Source organism: Homo sapiens, chromosome 22 (assembly GCF_000001405.40).
Source record: "Homo sapiens chromosome 22, GRCh38.p14 Primary Assembly".
In the NCBI taxonomy this organism is placed as follows: Eukaryota; Metazoa; Chordata; class Mammalia; order Primates; family Hominidae; genus Homo; species Homo sapiens.
This window is the reverse complement of record NC_000022.11, coordinates 37008082-37031058: the sequence shown is the minus strand read 5'-3', so window position 1 is coordinate 37031058 and position 22977 is coordinate 37008082. Positions and strand designations below refer to the sequence as shown.

Sequence of the window (22977 nt, the reverse complement as noted above, 5' to 3'; positions counted from 1 at the left end):
ATAACTGGGCAGTGTTACTGGCATCTAGTGGGCAGAGGCCAGAAACGCGGCCAAGCATCCCCCAGCACACAGGACGGCCCCCATGACAAGGAATCATTCAGTGTAAATGTCAGCAGCACTGAGGCTGAGAACCCCCGGTGTGGAAAACGGGGACTCTGCAGTGGACTCTTGGAAGGGCTCTCATCTGAGTTTCTTCTTCGGAAGTACACGATTCCCATGTTTTAGGGGAGGAAACTGAGGCTCCGAGAGGTTGGGAGTTACTTTAGAGCTCTTACTTGGAAAACCAAGATTCTAGGCTGTGTCGATTTCTCCCGTCCCTGCGGACTTGGGAAATGACTCAGCATCAGGGGGAAGTTGAGGGGATACAGTCAGGTGAAAAGAGGAATAAACTGAGTCAGGGAATCTGGATCTGGCCCTGGCTCTTCATAAATTCAGTGTGGCCTTGGTAAGTCACTGCCCCTCTCTGGTCTCGTTTCCAAAGGAAGGGCCAATAAGATAACTTCGAGCTCTCCCCAGTACCGCCTGGCAGGACACTGCCCCTGCGCTGCTGAGATGGTGCCTGAGGGCTGGAAAGACGGGGAGGGGCAATCCAGGTCGTGATGGGCAGGGGGGAGTTTGGGGCCTTCTCAGACACCTACGTCCACCTCTGCACAAAGGATAAATCCCGGGCAAGGAGGATGGAACCCCTACCCTTGGGAAATGGGGAGAGATGTTCTCTTTGAGCAGAAAGAATCAAACTCCCTGGGTCCACCCACTCCGGGAATTCCACAGACCAGCCCCCAAGTGTGAGCTTCCAGAGTTTAGAGCCAGGTTCTCCTCCAATTCAGCTCAGCTTAGCCCTTCCCTAGAACATCCCAGCTGGGCTGGGACATTCCTCCTTGGCATGGCACAGGCTTCTGTTAAGCTCTGGCCCCATCTTCTTCTGGAAATGAGATGTACTATTTACCTGCTAGAAGGGCAGGTGGTGGGAGAGTAGCTTTGGGTGGGACCACAGACATGTCACAGCAAAATTCACCTTAAATAGCCCAGATGCCAGAAGGGAGAACGCCCAGGATTATGGGGTGAGGGACAGCTTGCTAGGGGCTAGCTCAGTCACAGAAGTGGGGAGCTCTGGGGCCCCAGCACTGCTTGGAAGGCAGAGACAGGATCTCCAAGACCCTCAGGCTCCCCAGAGTGACCTTTGCTGGGCATGACAGAACCCCTGGCTCCTTAGGAAAACCGAGGCAGCCCCAGAGCTACAAGATTTAGCACTTGGTTATTTTATTTCCTCAAAAATAAAACAGAAAGGAGGCGGGGCCCCAGCTCAGCACCAGGTGGGCAGCTCGGAGTTGTGGCCTCCCTCCTCCAGGGCTCGCCTCCGCCTTTCCTCCCGCCCCTACTGGCAGCCAACAAGTCAACGGAATTCCTGGCCTTTGAGATGTCACCCCAAATGCCACCTGAGTTGAGTGAAGAAACACTCTCTTGGTGAAAGCAGAAGCGGAGCTACCAGGCCAGGCATTGCTGGTGGCCGGCATCACCTGAGCTCGCCTGTGTCCTGCCCAGCTTCAGTGGGTCTTCCCCCGGCCCTCTGAGATGACATCCTCGGGCCGGGCGCGCATGTACCACTCCACCCAGGAGCCATCGTAGATGGGCACGTCTGGCTTGCCGCAGAGGTAGGCCCCTAGTGCCACGTGGCAGGCTGTGACGCCAGAGCCACACGTGGCCACCAGTGGCTTAGACAGGTCCACTTTCTTCTCCTGGAACAGATGGCGGATCTCCTCAGGGCTCTTCTCCAGCCCCTCCTGGCTCAGGAAGTCTGTGAAGGGGATGTTCACGGTACCTGGGATGTGGCCAGGTTCAATGCCTACAGCAGGGGAGCAGGGAGGAGGGGACAAATAGAAGGATGCTATGAATGGTACCTCGTATTTGTGGTGCTCGAGATATTGAGAGCATCCCATGCAAGCATGGTGCTAAATCCTTTATATCCACCATCTCATTTAATTCTCACAACCATAAAACCTGAGCACTGTTTAGAGGAGCCCCCATTTTATACACGGTGATGCTGAGGTTAAGTACCACCTGAGGCTAACACATCTAGCAAATTGCTGACTGAACTTTGAACCTAAGAACTGGGCCCCAAGGTTTCCTGACTATGCACCCTAGGGACAGCAAAGCAATAAACAAGACCCCTGCCTAGCTAGAACGTGCAGTACCTGCAGGCAAGGAGCTTTAATCTGGCAGGGCAGACAGGCAACTGAATAATTACAAGCATAATGGGTGTTCCAAAAGTGCCCTACTGGGTGGCCTGGGGCATGTAAAAAAAAAATAACGCCAGTAACAGCAATAGCTGATATTATTATTACTGAGACAGGGTCTCATTCTGTTGCCCAGGCTGAAGTGCAGTGGCATGATCAAGGCTCACTGCAGCCTCAACCTCCTGGGCTCAAGCAATCCTCCTGCCTCAGCTTCCCCCCGAGGGGCTGGGACTACTACAGGCACATGCCACCATGCTCAGCTAATTTCCTTTTTTTGTTCTTTTTTTTTTTTTTGAGATGGAGTTTTGCTCTTGTTGCCCAGGCTGGAGTGCAGTGGCATGATCTTGGCTTACTGCAACCTCCACCTCCTGGGTTCAAGTGATTCTCCTGCCTCAGCCTCCTGAGTAGCTGGGATTACAGGCACCCATCACACCTGGCTAATTTTTGTATTTTTAGTAGAGACGGGGTTTCACCATATTGGCCAGGGTGGTCTCGAACTCCTGACCTCAGATGATCCACCTGCCTTGGCCTCCCAAAGTGCTGGGATTACAGGTGTGAACCACCACGCCTGGCCTAATTTGGTTTTTATAGACATGGGGTCTCAGTATGTGGCTCAGGATGGTCTTGAATTCCTGGCCTCAAGTAATCCTTCTGCCTCAGCTTCCCAAAGTGCTGGGAATATAGGAGTAAGCCACCTTGCCTGGCCAATAGCTGATGTTATTGAATGCTTACTTTCTGCCAGGCACTGTTTGGAGACGGTCAGCTATACTTTCTCCTTGAATCCACCCCAAAATTCTCTGGGAAAGAAATTATTATCCTCTCTTTTGTAAAGATGAAGAGAATGAAGTACAAAGACTAGCTTGTGCAAGCTAGCAGAGGGCAGGGAGGAGTAAACCCAGGCAAGTCTATGCTTCCCACCTTCACGCCACACTGGCTGGGGGCTCAGTGGGTGGAGGAAGTTTCTCTGAGAATGCCCCGAAGGATGAGTAGGATTCAGTCACATAAAGGGGTCTGGGTGGATGGAGGCCTAGAGCATCCCAGGCAGAGGGAATCTGAAAGGCGAGGGAACCACCTGTTGCCCGGAGGGGTTAAAGGTCATTGTCACGAAAGCCCAGACAGTGAGAAGCCAGAGGCCCAAAGGGGAAGCTGAAGGGGATGGGAACGCCTTAGCAGGCCTGGAGTAAGACTTGGGGGCTTTGACCTGACTGCAGGGGGAACTCAGGCTTCTGCGTTTACTTTTTTACTGTTACTTTTAATTTTTTTTATTGAGAAGGGGCTTGCCATCATGTCCAGGATGGTCTTGAACTCCTGGGCTCAAGGGATCCTCCCACCTCAGCCTTCCAAAGTGTGAGGATTATAGGTAGGAGTTACCTTGCCCAACCTAGATTTCCATTTTTAAACGATCATTTTGATTGTAGCAGAAAGAATGGGATGGGAAAGGCCCACACCTCTGCAGACTCCCAGGGTGTTTTTTGTTTTCACTGCCCCACCTTGAGGCAGGGGTTACTAACATTCCCATTTTCATGCAGGACTGGGATTTGCAACAAAATAAACCTTCACAACTAACGCTTGGGCTGGGCACGGTGGCTCACGCCTGTAATCCCAGCACTTTGGGAGGCCGAGGGGGGCAGATTACCTGAGGTTGGGAGTTCGAGACCAGCCTGACCAACATGGAGAAACCCCGTCTCTACTAATAATACAAACATTAGCCGGGCGTGGTGGCACATGCCTGTAATCCCAGCTACTCGGGAGGCTAAGGCAGGAGAATCACTTGAACCCGGGAGGCGGAGGTTGTGGTGAGCCGAGATTGCGCCACTGTACTCCAGCTGGGAAACAAGAGCAAAACTCCGTCTCAAAACAATAACAACAACAACAACAGAAACAAACACAAACAAAAAACCCCCCAAAAACGAATGATTCAAATCTGAGCCATTCAGACTCTTGTCCAGCTTCTGCCTTGGTTTCCCTCCGCAGTGGAGTGACACCCCCACAGGAGCTGCTGACCCATGTATCGGTATCTATTCTCAGACCCTGGCATAGAGACAGCACTCCCGAGTCTGTGGAGAGGCTGGAATGGGTCATGCATCCCACCTAACAGACACAGTTACCGGGCTTGGTCAGATATCACATAGAGACCAGCCCAGAGCAAGGAGGAGGAACAAACTCTCAACCCAGGGTGGTGACTGTAAAGGGAGGGCCATCCCTACACCTTGAATCCCACCAAGCAAAGCATGTTTCCCCTGCCTGCTGGACTGGTGTGGCACATCACAGGAGCACTTGGCCAGGCCTCAGGCTGTGGAGTGGGAATGATGACGACAGTGACATTCATCACTGATCCAGCTGCAGTGAGCTTAGTTTGTTTTGACAACAAGCCTGCTAGGCGTGTATCACCTCCCATTCTATAGATGAGCTAGTGCGACTGAATAAGTGTCAGGCACAAGTGTGCAGCACACTTGTGCATGAAAACCCGGAGCTGAGTGCTTTACACACTTGCTCTCCTTGCCCCTATCATGTCTTTATGCTCTGTGTTACTGCTCCCATTCTACATAGGCAGAAGCTGCAGTTCAGAGACATTAGATGACCCGTCGTGTGTCACAAAGCCCATGTAAATGTGGCAGGGATCTGAACCCCAGTCTGGCACCACCAGCTAGCTCCCCTGTGTTGCTCATTCCCCTGGGGCTGAGATGGAGAACCCAACAGGATTAAGGTGGTGCTCTCATTAGGCTGAACCACATGAAACTGACACCTGTGTAGGTTCAAAAATGGTTGGATATCAGCTGTTTCCTATGGTTCCGGTAACACCAACATTGCTTTGCAGGATTCCATGCAACAGGGACCTTCTGTATTCACCAAACCTCTCTGGAACATCGACTCTGTGCCAGGTACTGAGCTAATCTTCAGGATGCATGAAGAGCAGGGACAGTCCTTGCCCTCAGGCCATCCAAAACAATGCTGGCCCATGGTGAGCCCAAGCGGCTCCAAACCCAATCTGTAGCCATGGGAATGCTCTTCAGAGAGCTCTCTAGGGGCAGTGGTCAGTTTCTTGCACTCTTGAAGGCACAAGAGAAAGGGCTGGGGAGTTCCTGGTTGCTCACGGCTGTTAAGTGCGCAGGCTGCCGAGTCTGAATCCCGGCTGGGTTGTTTCTTGAGACCTTGGGCCAGGTTCCATTTCCTCCTCTGTGCAATGACAGTATCTACTTACACGGGATGTTTGAAAGACTCACACTAGCGTGACCACTGACCAGCCTGCTTTGTGGGGACTCCTCCTCGCATTATACAGAGCTTACCCACAGGCTTCTTGCCTGAGGAAATCCAGCCCACAGGCAGAAGGCTCTGCCCTACCCACTTCTGTTTAATCCCCCTTCCACCCTCAGTTCTCCAAGCTTTGGTCCCTGGAAGAGACTTTCCTTTATGCAGCCCCCGACTCTGCCTTCATTCCACCATCCTCAGGGGCATGGGTAGCCCTGATCAGGACCATCCCTCTGGGTTTTTCTCTCATACTGGGGCCTGCCCCCCAACATTCCACAGTGACCCCCCACACCTCTAGTGTTGGATTGAGAGCTGTTTGGGCAACCAGGGTTCCCAATGAGCTAGGGAGAGTCACTGCCCAAAGCACAGGAGGGGAAGGGCCAGTATTATGGTTCTGCTTAACAGACAAAGTCACCGAGGCAAGTGGAAGTCAAATCTCCTTCCCCACCTCATGCAGTGGCCTTTAAAGGCAAGGTCAGGCTGAGCGGGGAGGGTCACCTGAGCCCAGGAGGTTGAGGCTGCAGTGAGCCATGATTGTGCCACTGCACTCCAGCCTGGGCGGTAGAGCCAGACCCTGTGAAAAGAAGGCAAGGGTAGGGAAAAGGGGGAAAGGAGGGAAGGGAAAGGGAAGGAAAGGAAAGAAAAAAGGAAAGGAAATGAAAGCAAGATAAATTAAAAAAATAAAAGAAAGGTCAAGTCCAGGGCACTGCTCAGGGCGTAGAGGCCGCGCCCCCGACGACCTCCTGCCCCCTTCCCCCGCGTTACCGTCTCGGGGCTCGGGCTCGGTGCCGCGGAACCTGCCAGTGGCTCGGGAGTCCACCACCTGGAAGCGCCGGGATTCCAGGTTCTCCTTGATGTCCTCGTAGGTCTTGATGAAGGCGGGGTCGAGCTGAGCGCGGAACTCGGCGGGAGCAGGTTGGCTCTTGCCGGAGCTGAGCGGGAGGTTCTGGCGCAGCCAGTGGCGGAGGCCGCCATCAAGCAGTGACACGGCGTGGTGGCCGAAGGCGCGGAACATCCACCAGACGCGCGGGGCGGAGTAGAGGCCCTGGTCGCTGGCGTCGTAGATCACGACGTGGGTGGCCGCGCCCACGCCCAGGCGGCCTGCGTACTCCGCGAAATGCTCGGCCCCGGGCAGCATGTGGTCGTAGGGCGAGGTGCGGTCGCTGCACTGGTCGATGTCGAAGAAAGCGGCGCCCGGGATGTGGCGCTCCTCGAACTCGCGTCGCGCGTCGCGCCCCAGCTTCGGCAGGTACCAGGAGGCGTCCAGCAGCTGCAGAGGCTGCCCAGCGCGCGGGGCCCGCAGCGCCTCCGCCACCCATTGCGCCGACACCAGCGCGCGGCAGAGCTGCGGCGAAGCCATGGCGGCGACACTCGGGCTGCGGGCCTGGGCGACAGGGAGGATGTCAGAAGGGAAGCAGGGAGAGGCCGCTGTTGGGGCTAGGGCTGGGGCTGGAGCATGGGCGAGGGCCGGCGGGGGAGGTGCGGCCCGTGCAGGGCAGAGTCCAGGGAACGCAGAAACCAGTGGTGGTGAACCCGGGCACAAAGGTGGGTAGCCAGGGGCCTCCCTCTGCCAGGCCTCATATAAACACAAGCTCCGAGTGACCCAATGACCATGACCTCCCGGAGAGCCCCAGGCCACGCCCCTCACCTCCACTTGCTGGGCAGGAGGGTGGGTGGAGGTATCCTAGGGCAAGGCCCTGCTGGCTTCAAGGCACAAACAGGGGCAAAGTCTCCACCCCTCCCTAAGATGCAGCTCGGCTTTATTTGCAACCAAGTCCCAGACGGAAGTCATTCATTCACTCATCAAGCATTTATATTGGCGACCTAATAGGAACAGTAGCTGGAATTTACTGAGTCCTTGCTGGGTACCACTGAATCCTAACAATATCCTAGAACAATGCCTGACACAGTAGACTCTCCAGTATGTGTTGAATGAGTGATCTTAAGAGGCCTGGTATATTATTGTCACCGTTTCAAGGAGGACACTCAGGCTCACAGAAGTGCACTAACCTGGCCTGGTGCGGTGGCTCACGCTTGTAATCCCAGCACTTTGGGAGGCCCAGGCAGGTGGATCACCTGAGGTCAGAAGTTTGAAACCAGTCTGGCCAACATGGTGAAACCCCGTCTCTACCAAAAATACAAAAAATTAGCCGGGCTTAGTGGAGGGCACCTGTAATCCCAGCTACTCGGGAGGCTGAGGCAGGAGAACTGCTTGAACCCAGGAGGCGGAGGTTGCAGTGAGCCGAGATCGTGCCATTGCAATCCAGCCTGGGGAACAAGAGCAAAACTCTGTCTCAAAAACAAAAAACAAACAAGAAAAAGTGCACTAGCCTGACCCGGCGGTGCCAGGCTTCTCACTAGGCAGTCAGTCTGGCACCAGAATCCGGACTTCTCAGACACACACTCTGTGCAGGCTCCAGGAGTCTGGCGAGGCCAGGTTTTGCCTGTCCAGCCTGGGCTCTCTCTGGCCCTTCTAGCAGCAGCAACAGTGACTTCGCACCTCCCTCCCTCTCCTCTCTATCTTTCCTGCATACCAGAGACAGTGCACCAGCTCGCCAGCCCACTATGCCAGGCCAGCCCACAGCCTTCCTGGGTGTAAACTTCCCAAACACTTTAAGCCCTTTGTGCTGGGAAGCCACCGTTGTGCAGGTGAGAGGAAAGGGCCCCTTCTGCCAGGCAGAGGCTGAGCCCCCACCAGGGCACATGGCTGGGTGTGTGGAGTATGGGCTGCAGATCAGCCCTCACTTATCCCCTGTGTGAGGCCCAACCTTGACACCCACTGCATGCAGTCCTGCCAGCGAAATGAAGGGGGCAGGTAGAGAACAACATCTGTGGACCGAGTGCCTCTGTGGGCCAGGTCACATGCTAGGCACCGCAGCCTTGGGCGGGTATTAGGACGCCTGCTTTATGAATGAGGCCACTGGCAATTAGAAGAATAAGTGCCTTGCCCGTGGTCACAGGAGGCAGCCTCAGGATTTGCAGCCAGAATTTGACCCCTCAGGCTGGACTTCCCCTGCCCCAGGTGCCATGATGACCAGGGCCTAATGAGTTCTAGGGTGACACCCTGTGCCCACCCCCACAGTCTGGCCGCAGCTGGCTTTTAGGAACCTACTTCACCCATGCGGTCAGGCCTTGTGCCGGACACCGAGGCACTCTTGCCTTTGCCAAGCCCTGGGGGGAAACGTCAGGCTGCAGGCAAGAGAGAGTGAAATTGAGGATAGTTTAGAATTCAGTGTTGAGCACAGAGGGCCCCTATGTTTGCCTGGGGTGGCAGCAGAAGAGGTGGGAAGGCTTCCTGGAGTAGGAGGAAGTCCAGACTAATCTGACTTTTCCAGGGGCCCAGGAAGCCTCAGCACGGTCTTTAGGGTAGGGAGGCTGCCAAGGGGTGTTTGGCTAAGGGGTGATCCCCATTATCTGCGTTACAGCACAGCTAGGGGGCGCTGTGCTGGCAGATGCTGCAGGTTCCTTCCTGAGGAACCCTATTGTGGGAACCACAGCAGCCCCTGTGCACCCCCAAACACTGTCCCCTATTCTTGAGGATCCTTGTTTCCCTCACCCAATCATCCATTTACAGTAGAAAGAGCCCTGGTTTAGGAGCCAGAGAGCCCCCCAAATCAATGTAAACCCCACTCCACTGCTTAACTGGTTGTGTGATGTGGGTGTGTAGGGTCTCTGGGTGGTTTCTGTTCCTTATAATGGAGCTTCTCACCTCCACCTCTTAGAGCCAAGATTAAACAATAAATGTAGAGGGGCAACCACCATGCATTACATCTGGCTGGTTTTAATAATCATTAAAAACGGTTTAGGTCGGGCGTGGTGGCTCACACCTGCAATCCCAGCACTTCGGGAGGCCAAGGCGGGCGGATAACGAGGTCAAGAGTTCAAGACCAGCCTGACTAACATGGTGAAACCTCATCTCTACTAAAAATACAAAAATTAGCTGGGCATGGTGGCATGAGCCTGTAGTCCCAGCTACCCGGGAGGCTGAGGCAGGAGAATCGCTTGAACCTGGGAGGCAGAGGTTACAGTGAGCCGAGATCGCGCCACTGCACTCCAGCCTGGGCAACAGAGTGAGACTCCATCTCAAAATAATAATAATAATAATAATATTGCATTATTTCTTCCATTACTCTCATTGGTGGCCCTGGAACTGCCAGCAGCAAATCTAAAATCTTAGAATTTCAGGGCTTGGTGGGACTTCAGAGATCTGAGGTCACCCTGCCCCAGTCTCCCTGCTTGATTGGCACTTCTCACAAAGGTCTGTGGGCCATAAAGGAGGGTGTGAAGGCAGGCTGTGGGTGTCAGGGAGGGGTAGAAACCAGGTGCCTGTGTGATTCAGAAGCCGGGATCACTGTAGGTGAGGGTGCCCTGGGAGTGGAGGACCCCAGGACGTAACCGCCCCAGGCTCATGTCAGAAGGATACACAGCTGCACTGAAGCAAGCGTGAGCCGCAGGCTGGATCCAGGGTACCCCTTGAGGAGCAGAGCTTGGGAGCTCCTCTTGGACCTCCCCAGCCTGGTCCCTCCTGCCCACCCCCTCCCCCAACCACCAGACACTAGGCTTTGAGGATTGCTGTGAGCATTTTAGAACAAAACCTTTTTTTAAAAAGAGGGATGAGGCCAGGGATGGTGGCTCATGCCTGTAATCTCAGCACTTTGGGAGGCTGAGATGGGCAGATCACTTGAGCCCAGGAGTTCAAGACCAGCCTGGACAACATGGTGAAACCCCATCTCTACCAAAAATTTAAAAATTAGCCGGGAATGGTGGCACATGCCTGTGGTCCCACCTACTTGGGAGGCTAAGGTGGGAGGATCGCTTGAGCCTGGGAGGCGGAGGTTGCAGTGAGCTGAGATGGCGCCACTGCACTCCAGTCTGGGCCACAGAACCACAGCCTGTCTCAAAAAACAAAACAAAACAAAAGGTCAGGGTTGGGAAACAGGGAAAGCTTCCAGGCTGGCCTCTGCAAAAGCTAGGGAGGGGCAATGGTGTCCCCCAGTTTGCAAGAGCCCATGGCGAGCTTTTCAGGAATTTTGCCAACTGGTTGTTAAATACAGCTATTATTAAAAATTGAATTACATCAACTTATGATTAAACGGGCTAAGTTCAAAACAGGCAATTTTTTAAAAAGCATGAACCTTCAGGGAAGAGCCAGGTAAACAAAGGCAGCTGGTACCACGTGGGCTTCAGACCAGGGATCAGGCCCGGCCTCAACTCTGGGTGTGTCCTCCAGCAACTCGCTCTGCCGCTCTCTCCTGTCTTAGTAAGTTTCTGGCCTACTCCTCAGGGTTATTGTGGGAATTAAGTCACACCACGGGAGTACCCAGCAAAGTGCCACACCAAGCAGGGCTGGACAATGTTAGTTCCTTTCACTCACTAACAAGTTATTGGCTAGTGTCTCTTCCTGGGGCCTCTGGGTCAGCGGGGTCTCGTCTCCCTGTCCTCCTCTCTCTCCCCCGCCCTCTCTGGTGCCACCAGGTCACCCACTTCCACCCAAGGCTCCCCACCCGCCACTCGCCACGACCCCACCCGGCAGGCCGCCCCAAGCGGACAGTCACCCTTAGTGCCAACGTAGCGGCGCGCCTTCTCTCCTAGACTAAGCCCCCTCTTCCGCCCAGGTCCCGCGCGGGAGCCCCGCGCCGAGCACCCCCAAAGAGCCACTCCCTCCCCCTCCAGAAAGGCAAGCCGCCACGCCGCGGCAGTTACCCGGGTCTCGGACTCCCGGCTTCCTGGCTCCGCCATGGCCCCCGCGGCGCGGCGCCCCCTCCCCGCGCCCGCAGCTGTCCCCTCCTCCCGCCACCAACCTGCAGCGGACCAAAGGGAGGAGACTCCGGCACAGCCCACCGCCGCGGCCACTCGGAGCCGCTGCTGCCCGCGCCTTCCACTGGCCGGGCCGTGGGGGTACGCCCGCTCCGCCCAGCCCAGGCCCGCGCGGCCCCCGCGCCACCCGGCGTCCCCCTCAGACCCCCGCGGGTCCCGGAGGCCCCGCGCGCGAGGTTGGCAGGTGCCGGGCGCGAAGCGGCCGCGCGGGGGAGGCGCGGGATGGCGGCGGGCGGCGCAGGGTCCCCCTCTGGCGGTGGCGCGATGGTGCGCGCCGCCTGGGGAGCTGCGGCCGGGGGTTTGAACCGGCCAACTTCTCCAGCCGGCCGGGGCGAGCGCCAGCGCGGCGTCCGGGGCGAGTGAGTGCGGGGCGGGGGCAGCGGCCGGGCGCCTGGGCCGCCGGTCGGGCCACCTGCTGCCCGGGGAAGGATAGCGTTGCGAGAGTGGGACGGGGTGCCCCGGGAACCCCTGATCCACCTAGGGCAGAGGGCAGCGAGCTACGGGCCGGACTCGGGCACTCTGGAGGCGGGCGAGCTCGGGCTGCCTGGGGAGGCCGCAGGCGATGGCGTGTGCGCGGCTCGCGGAGCTTCCTAGCCGTGCGCCCACCCCCTCTGCCTTGGAAGGAAAGGGGATTCTAAGCCCAAGATGCCATCGCCCCCCATCCCGGGCATGCTTTCATTGCTCTTTCCTGGCGGGATCGAGTACTGTAACTTCTAGGAGCCAGATCCCCGCCCCAGGAAGCGCCCCTACTTGGAGTCCTCGGAAACTCTTGCCCCACCCGCTTCTGCGCTGGGCCCCCGGGCCGGCTGGGAGGGGCGGGGCCGGCTTTCCAGAGGGAATCTGCAAACTTATCCCGCTGCACGCCCCAGCCTCGCTGGCTTGCTGTAAACAAGGAACCCGGGGGAGTGCGGAGGGAGAAAGAGCTTCTCCCAGGCCTCACCCTACTGCACACACCGACTTCCTTCCTCACGCCTGTCTCTCTTTCCTGGTTCCCACCCGTGCCAGGTGACACGCAGAGCTGAAGCCATGGTTCATCAGGTGCTCTACCGGGCGCTGGTCTCCACCAAGTGGCTGGCGGAGTCCATCAGGACTGGCAAGCTGGGGCCCGGCCTGCGGGTGCTGGACGCGTCCTGGTACTCACCAGGCACCCGAGAGGCCCGCAAGGAGTACCTCGAGCGCCACGTACCCGGCGCCTCTTTCTTTGACATAGAAGAGTGCCGGGACACGGCGTCGCCCTACGAGATGATGCTGCCCAGCGAGGCTGGCTTCGCCGAGTATGTGGGCCGCCTGGGCATCAGCAACCACACGCACGTGGTGGTGTATGATGGTGAACACCTGGGCAGCTTCTATGCTCCCCGGGTCTGGTGGATGTTCCGTGTGTTTGGCCACCGCACCGTATCAGTGCTCAATGGTGGCTTCCGGAACTGGCTGAAGGAGGGCCACCCGGTGACATCCGAGCCCTCACGCCCAGAACCGGCCGTCTTCAAAGCCACACTGGACCGCTCCCTGCTCAAGACCTACGAGCAGGTGCTGGAGAACCTTGAATCTAAGAGGTTCCAGCTGGTGGATTCAAGGTCTCAAGGGCGGTTCCTGGGCACCGAGCCGGAGCCGGATGCAGTAGGTAGGTGTCCCAGTGCTGGGTGGTCCCTGGGGAGTATTGCCCCATGGAAGGATAGGGAGTAAGGATGACTGGGACCCTCTCCAGGGTCCGTCCCATGCCTTCAATCCTCCCATGTAGGCCTCAGTCTTTCCATCGATAAAACCAGAAAGTGGAGACAAACCTAAAGGCTTTTTCAGCTTGGATGCACAAGGACCCAAGAATGTGTCCTCATAGCCATGTGCTAAGAAGCCACCTAGCATCTGTGTGAGCAGAAGTCACTGGTGACATGTCCACCACCTCCACTCCCAGGCACCAGCTGCCCCACATGTACTAGGATATACCTAAGGGTGTCATGCCCCTGAGCCAGCGTTTGCATTGCTGTACAGAAACCTCCCACGGACACATCCAGCTTCTCCAGGCCTCTCTCGTCCCGCAGAAACCCTTATAGACATCAACAGTGTCCCTCCCCGCAGGATCCCCCTCTCCCCAAATCTAGCTCTCCTGGGGCCCCTGCCTGCTGTTTGCAAAGGTTCCATAACCTTTCCAGGCAGCTGCAGCCCGTCGGCAGAGTTGTAACAGCAGCTGCCATTTCATGCCAGACACTTGGCACCGCATTATCTCAGCGAACAAAGCTCAATGCCCCTGTTTTGGCAGCGGGGGGTGGGGGGACTGAGATGCCAGGACATAAAGTGGTGGAAGGCAGGATTCGAATCCAATGCTGCCTTGTTTCAAACCAGGGCTATAAACCAGGACGCACCCAATGCTGCCCTACCCCTACTTCCCAGGGCCAGGAGGGAGTCCCCTCTGCTAGTTGCCCCAGGAAGGCGACTCAGAAGTTCCCCTCCTGTGGAAGGGAAGGCCAGGTGGATTGGATACTGCTTGAGGGTTGGGGAGAGCCTCAGGAGAGGAAATGCTGAGTTCTAGAACCTCCTAGCCAGACAGAACCTCGGAGGTCTTCCCTTTTCTAGAGGCAGGACTGCCGTCTCGCTGCCATCACTCCTGCTGAGTGCCCTCCAGTCCCTGCCTGGCCATTTCCAGGAGCAGGGCCCTCTCTTGTCTCTGGGCACCTCCTTGGTGGCTCTTTCCTCAGTCAGAGCTCCTTCTCTACAGAATCTAACTCGTGTGCAACATTTTGCCTGACTTGTTGAAAAACATCTCTTCCTGTCTGTACCTCCTACAGAGAGAATGCTGGGAAAACTGTTCTGCACACTCTTAGAGCTGGAGGGCCTGAACGGTGACCTCACCTGACAGAGGGGAGACTGAGGTGCACAGAGGCAGGGGCCAAGGCCGCATAGCTAGTTAGTGACAGAGCCAGGACAGCAGGGTCTCTGCCCTTTCCAGCGCAGCTTTTTCCAGGCCCCATATTTTTCTTGCCTGCTTGCTCTCTGAAGGTCTGGAGTTGAAGATTCAAGTTCATTTGGCACCTCCCAGAGAATCCTGGCTGGGAACGCCTGCAGCCCTCTCCTGGCCTTGGTTCAAGACGCCTCTTCTCCTTGGGATTTAAGCTGTCATGGGGGAGGATCAGTGGAATTGGTTCTCTTGCTGCTTCCCAGCCTGCCCTGAAGCAACCTAAGAAATAAGTGGAAGGGACAGCTTGGAGGTGCCAGGCCCAATGTCCTCACCCATTTTACAGATGAGGAAACTGAGGCTCAGAGGAGGAGAATGGCCTGCAGTGGGTAATGCCTCCTGAAGGCCCGGGATGCTGAAGTTCCTCCTCTGTAATTGTGTTCACACCTCCTTCAGTTTCCCTCAGGAGCATCAGGGAACATGGATTCTCATTTCAGCTCAGCCACTCCTCCTTGGAGTGACCTCAGTCCAGTTGCTTGGCCTCTCTGGGTTTCCTTATCATAAAATGAGAAGAGTCACGCCAGCCCTACCCACATGAGTATGCATTTGTTTAAATGTAGCAGTGGCGGCCGGGCGTGGTGGCTCACGCCTGTAATCCCAGCACCTTGGGAGACCAAGGTGGGCGGATCATGAGCTCGGGAGTTCGAGACCAGCCTGACCAACATGGTGAAACCCCGTCGCTACTAAAATGAAAAAAAAATTAGCCAGGCGTTGGTGGTACGTGCCTGTAATCCTAGCTACTTGGGAGGCTGAGGCAGGAGAATCGCTTGAACCCGGGAGGTGGAGGTTGCAGTGAGCCAAGATCGCGCCACTGCACTCCAGCCTGGGCAACAGAACAAGACTCTGTCTCAAAAAAAAAAAAAAAAAAAAAAAAAAGTAGCAGTGGCTGGAAAGGGATTTCAAGAAGGGTAAGGAACGATACAAATCCTGGAGGGTGTGGCACTTCCCCCCCAACCCCCTCCTCCAAGAGGCTTTGCTGGCCTCCCATACAAGATATTTTGGGGACACAAAGGCACATGAGGCTCTGCCAAGTTTATGGTTCCCAGCGTGGTGTGGGATCAGGGAGGCACCCTGTAGGTTCAGCGGTCCAGATGTAACACACAGGGGCATGGGGGTGGCAGACCTGGGGGTCAGGCATTGGCCCTGATCATCTCTGGAAGGAATGACCCTAAATGGAGCGAGAAGCAGAGCTTAGACACCTGGCGGCCACTTCCTGCTCACCTTAGGCAAGCGCCTTCCTCTTTGGCTGTAGTTTTGTGCCTCCACAAGCTCTTAGTCCTGGAGTCAGCCAGATCTGAGGTTCCATCCAGGTGTGATACTGATGCTTAGCCTCAGGCTAGTGCCTTCACCGCTAACTGTTGTTCGTGAAAGGAGCGCTGCTCACCTGAGAGGAGGGCTGGAGGAAGTGAGAGAGGCAGAGTAGGAGTTTATCCAGCCCAGTTTCTTTATCGACTTAATTTTCTTTGCCTCCCTTCTTGGAGGGAGTGAGGGTGAAGAAGGGAGGAGGGTATCGACCCGCTAATGAGCACTTTTATTTACAGAACGCTTTTTATATAGTCTCTTCTGGACACCTACAGCAGCCCTGCAAGGGGAGGCAGGCAGGGGTAGGTAGGCTGGGTCCCACTTTGTGGGTGGGGACAAGGAAGGGGCTTCTCTGTTAAGACAAAGTGGCAGAGACTTGACCCCAGGTCGGCAGGCTTCAAGTTGGGGCTGTTTCCCAAGGCTACTGCTGTGGGTGGGGTGAGCTGTAAGCAAGCCCAGGGGCTGAGGGAAAGGTCACGGCTCCATGGTGTGGCTCCCGGGCTGCTGTATGGGACTGAAAATCCACTCTGCCTATCTCTCCCTCCCAGGGCTGGGAGCTTGGCTGAGGGAGGAGGGAAGGTGCAGGGCTGCCTCTTCCTGGCTAGGGTTAAGGGGTTGCCTTCTGGGGCTGCCTGCTCTGGATTCCTTAGTAAAAGGAGAAAGCGCCAGACAGCTTTTCCTGGCCTTAAAAATCCACACCTACCAGTGGCCTGAGGGATGTTAACTCTAGTAGTTGAGTACAAGAGGTCATCTCATCCATTCCCCAGCCTCAGTCTCCTTTTCCAGGGAGGCTCAGGGTGGTCAAAGAACACAGGCGTTGGGGGCAGACCAATCAGACTTACCTTTGCTGTGTGTCCTGAGGCAAGCGACATCACCTCTCTGAGCCTGGGCTCCCCCAGCAATGCTGAGAGAATAATCTCCCCTGCTTTGTGAGGATTGAGGAGGATAAAATTCTTGAGAGCACCTGCTGTCAAGTGCCTGGTGCCGCAGGTTATGGGAATGGGGGCATGCCTGCTGGGGGCAGGGAGAGCCAGAAGCCTTCAGCTAGACTTGGGAAGAGAAGCATGGGAGCCTCTGCTTTCTGGCCCAACGTGCCTTTCCACCAACTGGCTGTTCTTTTTGTTTGTTTGTTTGTTTTTTGAGACGGAGTCTCGCTCTGTCACCCAGGCTGGAGTGCAGTGGTGCGATCTTGGCTCATTTTAAGCTCCGCCTCCTGGGTTCACGCCATTCTGCTGCCTCAGCCTCCCGAGTAGCTGGGACTACAGGTGCCCACCACCACACCTGGCTGATTTTTTTTGTATGTGTGTTTTTAGTAGAGACGGGGTTTCACCGTGTTAGCCAGGATGGTCTCGATCTCCTGACCTCGTGATCCGCCCACCTCGGCCTCCCAAAGTACTGGGATTACAGGCGTAGCCACCGCGCCCGGCCAAACTGGCTGTTCTTGAAAGTTCTCTGGCCCAGGTTCATCTCAGCCCTTCCCACAGTTCATTTAAATGCCCCAGACAGGCCCTGAGCTCCCCTTGCTTCACCCCGTCCAGCTGGCCCAGTGTGGGAGGCCCGCTCTACAGAAACTCCCTGACTTCATCTTTACTCAGAAGGGGTGCCCTTTATGTAATAAGAAGAACACAGTGGGGCTGTGTCATCAGGGATGGGGACAACAAAACAGGATTCAACCCGTTGTGCTTTCAAATGCACTTCAATCCAGCCCACTGTGGAAACATTTTAAAGCTGGGTTTCTTGGGAAAGAATGCCCTCGATGCCAGCTGATCCATTGTTCCTCGTTGGTAGGGTGGGCACACATCTTAGATTCAAGTTTCCAGGCAAAGCAGGTGAAACACAACAGGAAGAAATTGCTCTAATTTTATACGTTATATGCAATCAAACTTCCTTTTTTAATTCATTATTATTATATTTTTGAGACAGAGTCTTGCTCTATCACCCAGGCTGGAGTGGCATGATCACAGCTCACTGCAGTCTCCTGGGCTCAAGTGATCCTCCTACCTCAGCCTGTCAAGTAGCTGGGACTACAGGTGCATGCCACCATGCCTGGCTCATTTTTTTTTTTTTTCTATAGAGATGGGGCCTTGCTATGTTACCCAACTCCTGGGCTCAAGCAATCCTTCCATCTGGGCCTCCCAAAGTGCTGGGATTACAGATGTAAGCCACCATGCCTGGCCTTTCTACTTTATTTTCAGGCTATTCAAGTGAAGCAGTGGGAGTGGAGAAGGAAGAAAGAAATCTGTAACTGGTGATCAGTTGATTGTAAACACCACTGCCAATCAAACTCGACTTGTACTAATAGATTTTGGAATCCTCTTTGGCCCCGGGGTGAAAGGACCAGGACATAGCTGGCGTGATGATGTACCGAATCGTGTGCCTGCCAGGGTCACTGGGTGCTTTTAGCTGCAGTAGTTAGACTTCCCCACACACCTGTGAGGTGGGTGAGGTTTACTTTTTTTTTTTCTTTGAGACGGAGTCTCGCTCTTGCTGCCTAGGCTGCAGTGCAATGGGGTGATCTCGGCTCACTGCAACCTCCGCCTCACAGGTTCAAGCGTTTCTCCTCCCTCAGCCTCCCGAGTAGCTGGGATTACAGGCGCATGCCACCATACCCGGCTAATTTTTTATATCTTTAGTAGAGACGGGTTTTCACCATGTTGACCAGGCTGGTCTTGAACTGACCTTGTGATCCACCCACCTCAGCCTCCCAAAGTGCTGGGACTACAGGCGTGAGCCACTGCATCCGGCCTAGGTGGGGTTTTGTCCCCGTTCTGCAGGAGGGAGACTGAGGCTCGGAGGTTCAGGGCCTGCTTGGCTGTACCCAGCCCCAGTATATGCCTTGGCCACACTAGTCAGATCCTTCCCCTCCCACTCCTGCCACCCTGCTCCTGCCCTGTCCCATAATCCAGGTTGAATGGGGGTGGGGATTTGGGGAGCAAGGAGGGCTCAAAGAGATGGAGATAGGCCTGTGTCAGGCCAAAGTGCAGGTTGGGCACTGGGAGTGGGGCCAACCATAGAGCCCCCACCCCTGCCAGGGTGTGGGCTGCTCGAGGAAGACAGGAGTGGCCTGGGGCATGTGTGAGATTGGCCTGTGGCCTCACCCTGTGGGTGGCACCAGCTCTGGCCATGGCTTTCCCCTTTGCCCCAATTCCTGGCTCTTCTGAAGCCAGATTTGGCCGAGGGCCCTCACTGGGTACTGAGACAGTTCCAGAAAGGACTCTAGAGCCAGCCGAGTCCCTCCACTCTGCTTCCATCCAAGTTCTTGGAGGGGACCAAAAAGGCCCACACTGTCCCTATTCTCCCCCTACCCCCTCCATGGGTGGTGAAGTGGCTGGGGGCGCAGCATGGCAGGGTGGGTGGGCCAGCCTCCAAAGCCAGCGCTTTCCTTGTGCCACCCGCTTCGTGCAGCAGCCAATACACAGTGGATACTCTCATTTCCATTTTTCCTATGGAGAAACTGAGGCTCAGAGAGCTGACATAACTTGCTCCAGTGGGATTTGACCTCACATCTGACACCAGGTCACTTGCTCTTTCTGCAACTGTGTGCTTAACAGAAAACCAGAGGCCCCGATGTAATCCTGGGTCTGCCTTCATCTTTCTGTGTGGCCTTAGGTGAGCCGTGTTGTTTTGCCAAGACTCAGCGGATTCATCTGTAAAATGGGGACATATCTGATTAGTTATGTGGTTATCTGTTTAGCATCTGCCTTTCTTGTTAGACTGGAATCTCCCAGAGGGCCTGGCTGTGTCTCTGCCTTTCACCGCTGTGTTCTCAGCACATAGCATTTGCAATAAGTTGTCCCATTTGCTCTTCTCAACATGGCTGTGAGATAGGTATGTACCACTGAGCCCATTTTACAGATGAGAAAACTGAGGTTCAGAGAAGTGAAATGATTTGCCCAAGGTAAAGGTTAGTGGAGCTGAGACTCATGCCGCTGTCTTCTCAAGCAGGTGTGATTTTGGGCATCTCTACTTCAAGACAGGTGTTAGGAGAGGAGTTGCAGGCATCTTAAGTCATGAGAAATGATAATAGGTGGGGCTGGGAATAAATTGAGCTCCAAGCAGAGCAAAGATGTTATTTTTATTTGCAAAGCTATCTATCCTTCCAGCTATAGCTGATGGAATCCTCCAGGCCCCATTAGTCCCCACCCCTCATACATCCCCTAAGCTGTGTCCTCTGCCCTGCCCAGGACTGGACTCGGGCCATATCCGTGGTGCCGTCAACATGCCTTTCATGGACTTCCTGACTGAGGATGGCTTCGAGAAGGGCCCAGAAGAGCTCCGTGCTCTGTTCCAGACCAAGAAGGTGGATCTCTCGCAGCCTCTCATTGCCACGTGCCGCAAGGGAGTCACCGCCTGCCACGTGGCCTTGGCTGCCTACCTCTGCGGCAAGCCTGATGTGGCCGTGTACGATGGCTCCTGGTCCGAGTGGTTTCGCCGGGCCCCCCCAGAGAGCCGTGTGTCCCAGGGAAAGTCTGAGAAGGCCTGAGCCGTGACCTCTTCTGCTTACTGTAACTGCGGCCGGTTTAGTGACCCCATGACTTACAGCCGGTTCTTACCTCTTAGGTGAAGGAGATGACATGTTTTTAGAATTGCTGTGCAAGGCTCACCCTCTCTCTGTCAACACTGGAATAAACTTTGCCTTTTCTGAGTAGTGTGTTTGCCTGCCTCTCTCTGGGCTCCATCCTTGCCCCCAAACTTCCATCTCTTTCAAACTCCGGAGACTCCACCAAGGACAGAGACCACCATAGCCCCTCTGGCTGGGGAAGCCATACCGAGGACACCACTTTCACCCAGTTTTGGCAGAAACAGCCTCCTGCTGTCCCATGTCAGGTGGACTCTGTCCCAGAGCATGCTGGGTCCTACCAGGAAGACAGGTGGGAAGGGAACCAGAAAGCCAGAGAGCTGAAGCCCCAGCTGCTGTAGCCCCAGCCTCCTGGGTAGGGGCGGAGGGACAGCTGGCTTTCCCAATATGTCCATAGAGGTGTCACACAGACCCAGGGCCTCTCAGAAGAGGCCATGCTCAGGAGCAGGTGAAAGGAAGGTGGCCTCTGTCTCGAGCACCTTTTCTGGCTCAGAGTAAGACCCCCTGGGGAGCAGTGGAGGGAGGGGCTGGAGAAAGAGCTTTGGCCCTGGGAGAAGGTCCAGGCTCTGGCAGGTGAATCAGGAAGCCACAGTAGAAGAAAGCAACCTGATAGCTTGGCCCCATGTGGCTGGATTTCAAGTTTCCCAGAAACAGCCTCTCTTAGACCTCCTTTGGGGTTGCAAGAAGAATTCCGGGCCCCACCTACTGGGGACTACCGGCTCCCCACTATCCAGCCTTCCCAGTGAAGACAGGATCCTGGAGGGCCGGAGACCAAGTCTGTCCTTGGCTTGGCATTGGGGCAAATAGGTGCTCAGGAGATGCTGAGGAGGTTGGTTTTGGGGCTGGCAGGTTGGGTGATGGGGCTGAATGCTGAGGCCGGTGGGACCTGTAGTGGTGGGACTGGTAGTCTGGAGGGTTGACCCCTCTCACTTCCATGCCACTAACAAAACAGTCCTCTTCCCAGCTCACATGTGGCTCAGATCCTACTGTGGGAAGAAGAAGCAAATATACACAGTATGTCAGATGGCAATAAGGTGCAATGGTAGAAAAGGTTGGAAAATAGGAGTAGGGAGTGTGGGGTGGGCTGGGATGCTTTTTAAGAAAAGGTGGTCTGGGAAGGTGAGCAGAGTCTTGAAGGAGGTGAAGAGGCAAGCCATGTAGGCATGTGGGGGAAGGAAGTTGCAGGAGAGGAGAGGGAACAGCCCGTGCAAAGGCCCCGAGGAGGGACTGTGCTTGGTGTGCCCAAAAAACAGCAGAGCCTGGCATGGCAGGGACCCAGGGAGCACTTGGGAAAGTGAGAGGAGCAGAGGTCAGAGAAAAATGGTGGACAGGTTGGGTAGGGCCTTGCAGATAAATGGGAGGATGTCAGCTTTTACTGTGGTTGAGCTGGAAGGTTTTGTTTAGAGGGGTGACATATGATCTAATATAGGTCTTAACAGGATTGCTGGGCTGTTGAGTGAGAAGACTGTCAGAGGATATGGTGGACTCCAGGGTGGTCCCCATATTATCTGCCCCCTCGTGTTCATGCCCCGTGTGACCCTCTCCCTTTCACTGCGGGTGGGACCCGTGACTTGCTTTTAACCAACAGCCTACGGCAAAGGTGATGGATGCCACTTCTGTGACTATGGTACACAACATTGTAATGCCCCATCTTGCAAGGGGACTCCCTCTTTGCTGGCTTTGATGAAGTCAGTGTCATGTTGGTGTTGGGGGGCCCACATAGCAAGGAACTGAGGATGGCCTCTGGCTGACAGCCAGAGAGAGCCTGAGACCCTCAGTCTAACAGACTGCAAGGAACTGAATCCTCCCACAGCCACATGAGCTTGGAAGCATATTCTTCCCTAGTGGAACCTCAGATGAGACTGCAGCCCTGGCCAATACTTGGATTGTAGCCTGCTAAGACCCCAATGCAGAGAACTCAGCTAAGCCATGAGTAGACACCCGACCCAAAGAAACTGTGAGATAACAGTTGTATGTTAAGCTTCGAAGTTTATGGCAAGATTGTCGTGCAGCAATAGATAATACTTAGGCAAGAGATGAGGGTGGCTTGGACCAGGGAGTAGGGGGAGTTGTGGAGGTGGACGAAGGCATCCAAATCTAGTGTACTTCGAAGGACTTGCTGATGGGTTGCTTGCGGAAGTAGCTTAGAGTTTTGTGATGTCTCTCTCTGTGCAAGGCAATGTGCTACATTTTGCAAAAAATTGTTTTATTCGCCCATCACCCTTATCCTTAGTGTTGGGTGATATCTGTTTCACATGTGAAGGAAGTTCAGCTAAAGGACTTGGCCAGTCTCTTATCTAATAAGTGACAGGCCCAGATTCTGGGGACTCCAAGTTTAACCACAGCACTCTCTGTTTCCTGGGGAAATCCTGAAAGGCTGGGCTTGCAGGAGGCGTTCACTATACCCACTCTTTGTCCAGGCTGAGCAACAGCCAGACAGGAATGGGCCAGTGCTGGCACCAATGACTTCTGCCTCCTTCTTCTCTGCAGAAAAGAAGTCACTTAATTTTGTTGATCTCCTTCTGTAGCCCTTGTTGTTTAGGAATAGGAGAGAGGACCCTTCCTTTAGTTTTACTCCCAGGTCCCTGATCCCTGGGTGTCCAAATCAGACAGCTCCAGATGCATCTTTCTCCTTCCCCATTGACCTCGACCTACATTTATGCTGTTATACACATCCATGCCTTTAATATTCTCATCCCTTCAAAACTGTTAAGTTCCTAGGCATCCTTCAAGATCCAACTCAAATGGCTCTTTCATAAGTCCTTCCTCCTTTTTCCTACACAGAGCTAGTTCTTCTCCCTACTTAGTGCTTTGAGCTCCCAAGAACATCTTTTGCACTTGGTAGCATC

The 22977-nt window shown here is 55.1% G+C and overlaps 2 protein-coding genes across 9 annotated transcripts, besides 9 other annotated features; one reads left to right on the top strand and one right to left on the bottom strand.

The window, feature by feature from the left end:
* Positions 1-1243: 1243 nt before the first annotated feature.
* Positions 1244-11317, bottom strand: MPST (mercaptopyruvate sulfurtransferase). 7 transcript variants are annotated; one of them, NM_001130517.4, is made up of 4 exons: positions 11285-11317; positions 7132-7307; positions 6249-6867; positions 1244-1843 (listed from the first exon to the last, which is right to left on the bottom strand). In NM_001130517.4, exons 3-4 carry the CDS (start codon positions 6841-6843, stop codon positions 1545-1547), a joined length of 894 nt encoding a protein of 297 aa, NP_001123989.1. In that variant the 5' UTR covers positions 6844-6867; positions 7132-7307; positions 11285-11317; the 3' UTR covers positions 1244-1544. The 7 variants fall into 7 exon arrangements, with proteins under 7 accessions (NP_001123989.1, NP_001356833.1, NP_001356834.1 ...); NM_001369904.2 differs by lacking the exon at positions 11285-11317 and adding an exon at positions 11187-11239; NM_001369905.2 differs by lacking the exons at positions 7132-7307; positions 11285-11317 and adding exons at positions 3964-4060; positions 11187-11239.
* On the top strand, positions 10876-20200 carry TST (thiosulfate sulfurtransferase). Of its 2 annotated transcripts, none has more exons than NM_001270483.1 (3): positions 10876-10897; positions 12306-12921; positions 19734-20200. In NM_001270483.1, the coding sequence occupies exons 2-3, from the start codon at positions 12327-12329 to the stop codon at positions 20030-20032; spliced, it is 894 nt and encodes a 297-aa protein (NP_001257412.1). In that variant the 5' UTR covers positions 10876-10897; positions 12306-12326; the 3' UTR covers positions 20033-20200. The 2 variants fall into 2 exon arrangements, with proteins under 2 accessions (NP_001257412.1, NP_003303.2); NM_003312.6 differs by lacking the exon at positions 10876-10897 and adding an exon at positions 11612-11659 and having other exon boundaries at positions 19734-20194.
* Positions 11001-11320: a silencer, noted in NCBI's record as "silent region_13676". NCBI's record gives its function as "represses an Ori minimal core promoter by ATAC-STARR-seq in GM12878 lymphoblastoid cells {active_cell/tissue: GM12878}" and the evidence as "EXISTENCE:reporter gene assay evidence [ECO:0000049][PMID:35858748]".
* Positions 11331-11450: a silencer, noted in NCBI's record as "silent region_13675". NCBI's record gives its function as "represses an Ori minimal core promoter by ATAC-STARR-seq in GM12878 lymphoblastoid cells {active_cell/tissue: GM12878}" and the evidence as "EXISTENCE:reporter gene assay evidence [ECO:0000049][PMID:35858748]".
* Positions 11481-11870: a silencer, noted in NCBI's record as "silent region_13674". NCBI's record gives its function as "represses an Ori minimal core promoter by ATAC-STARR-seq in GM12878 lymphoblastoid cells {active_cell/tissue: GM12878}" and the evidence as "EXISTENCE:reporter gene assay evidence [ECO:0000049][PMID:35858748]".
* Positions 11481-12090: a biological region, named in NCBI's record as "H3K27ac hESC enhancer GRCh37_chr22:37415035-37415536".
* Positions 11564-12065: an enhancer, noted in NCBI's record as "H3K27ac hESC enhancer chr22:37415035-37415536 (GRCh37/hg19 assembly coordinates)". NCBI's record gives its function as "activates a minimal SCP1, AML or CMV promoter by ChIP-STARR-seq in primed H9 embryonic stem cells {active_cell/tissue: H9 hESC(primed)}" and the evidence as "EXISTENCE:reporter gene assay evidence [ECO:0000049][PMID:30033119]".
* Positions 12031-12090: a silencer, noted in NCBI's record as "silent region_13673". NCBI's record gives its function as "represses an Ori minimal core promoter by ATAC-STARR-seq in GM12878 lymphoblastoid cells {active_cell/tissue: GM12878}" and the evidence as "EXISTENCE:reporter gene assay evidence [ECO:0000049][PMID:35858748]".
* Positions 12094-13069: an enhancer, noted in NCBI's record as "H3K27ac-H3K4me1 hESC enhancer chr22:37414031-37415006 (GRCh37/hg19 assembly coordinates)". NCBI's record gives its function as "activates a minimal SCP1, AML or CMV promoter by ChIP-STARR-seq in primed H9 embryonic stem cells {active_cell/tissue: H9 hESC(primed)}" and the evidence as "EXISTENCE:reporter gene assay evidence [ECO:0000049][PMID:30033119]".
* Positions 18033-18533: an enhancer, noted in NCBI's record as "H3K4me1 hESC enhancer chr22:37408567-37409067 (GRCh37/hg19 assembly coordinates)". NCBI's record gives its function as "activates a minimal SCP1, AML or CMV promoter by ChIP-STARR-seq in primed H9 embryonic stem cells {active_cell/tissue: H9 hESC(primed)}" and the evidence as "EXISTENCE:reporter gene assay evidence [ECO:0000049][PMID:30033119]".
* Positions 18534-19034: an enhancer, noted in NCBI's record as "H3K4me1 hESC enhancer chr22:37408066-37408566 (GRCh37/hg19 assembly coordinates)". NCBI's record gives its function as "activates a minimal SCP1, AML or CMV promoter by ChIP-STARR-seq in naive H9 embryonic stem cells {active_cell/tissue: H9 hESC(naive)}" and the evidence as "EXISTENCE:reporter gene assay evidence [ECO:0000049][PMID:30033119]".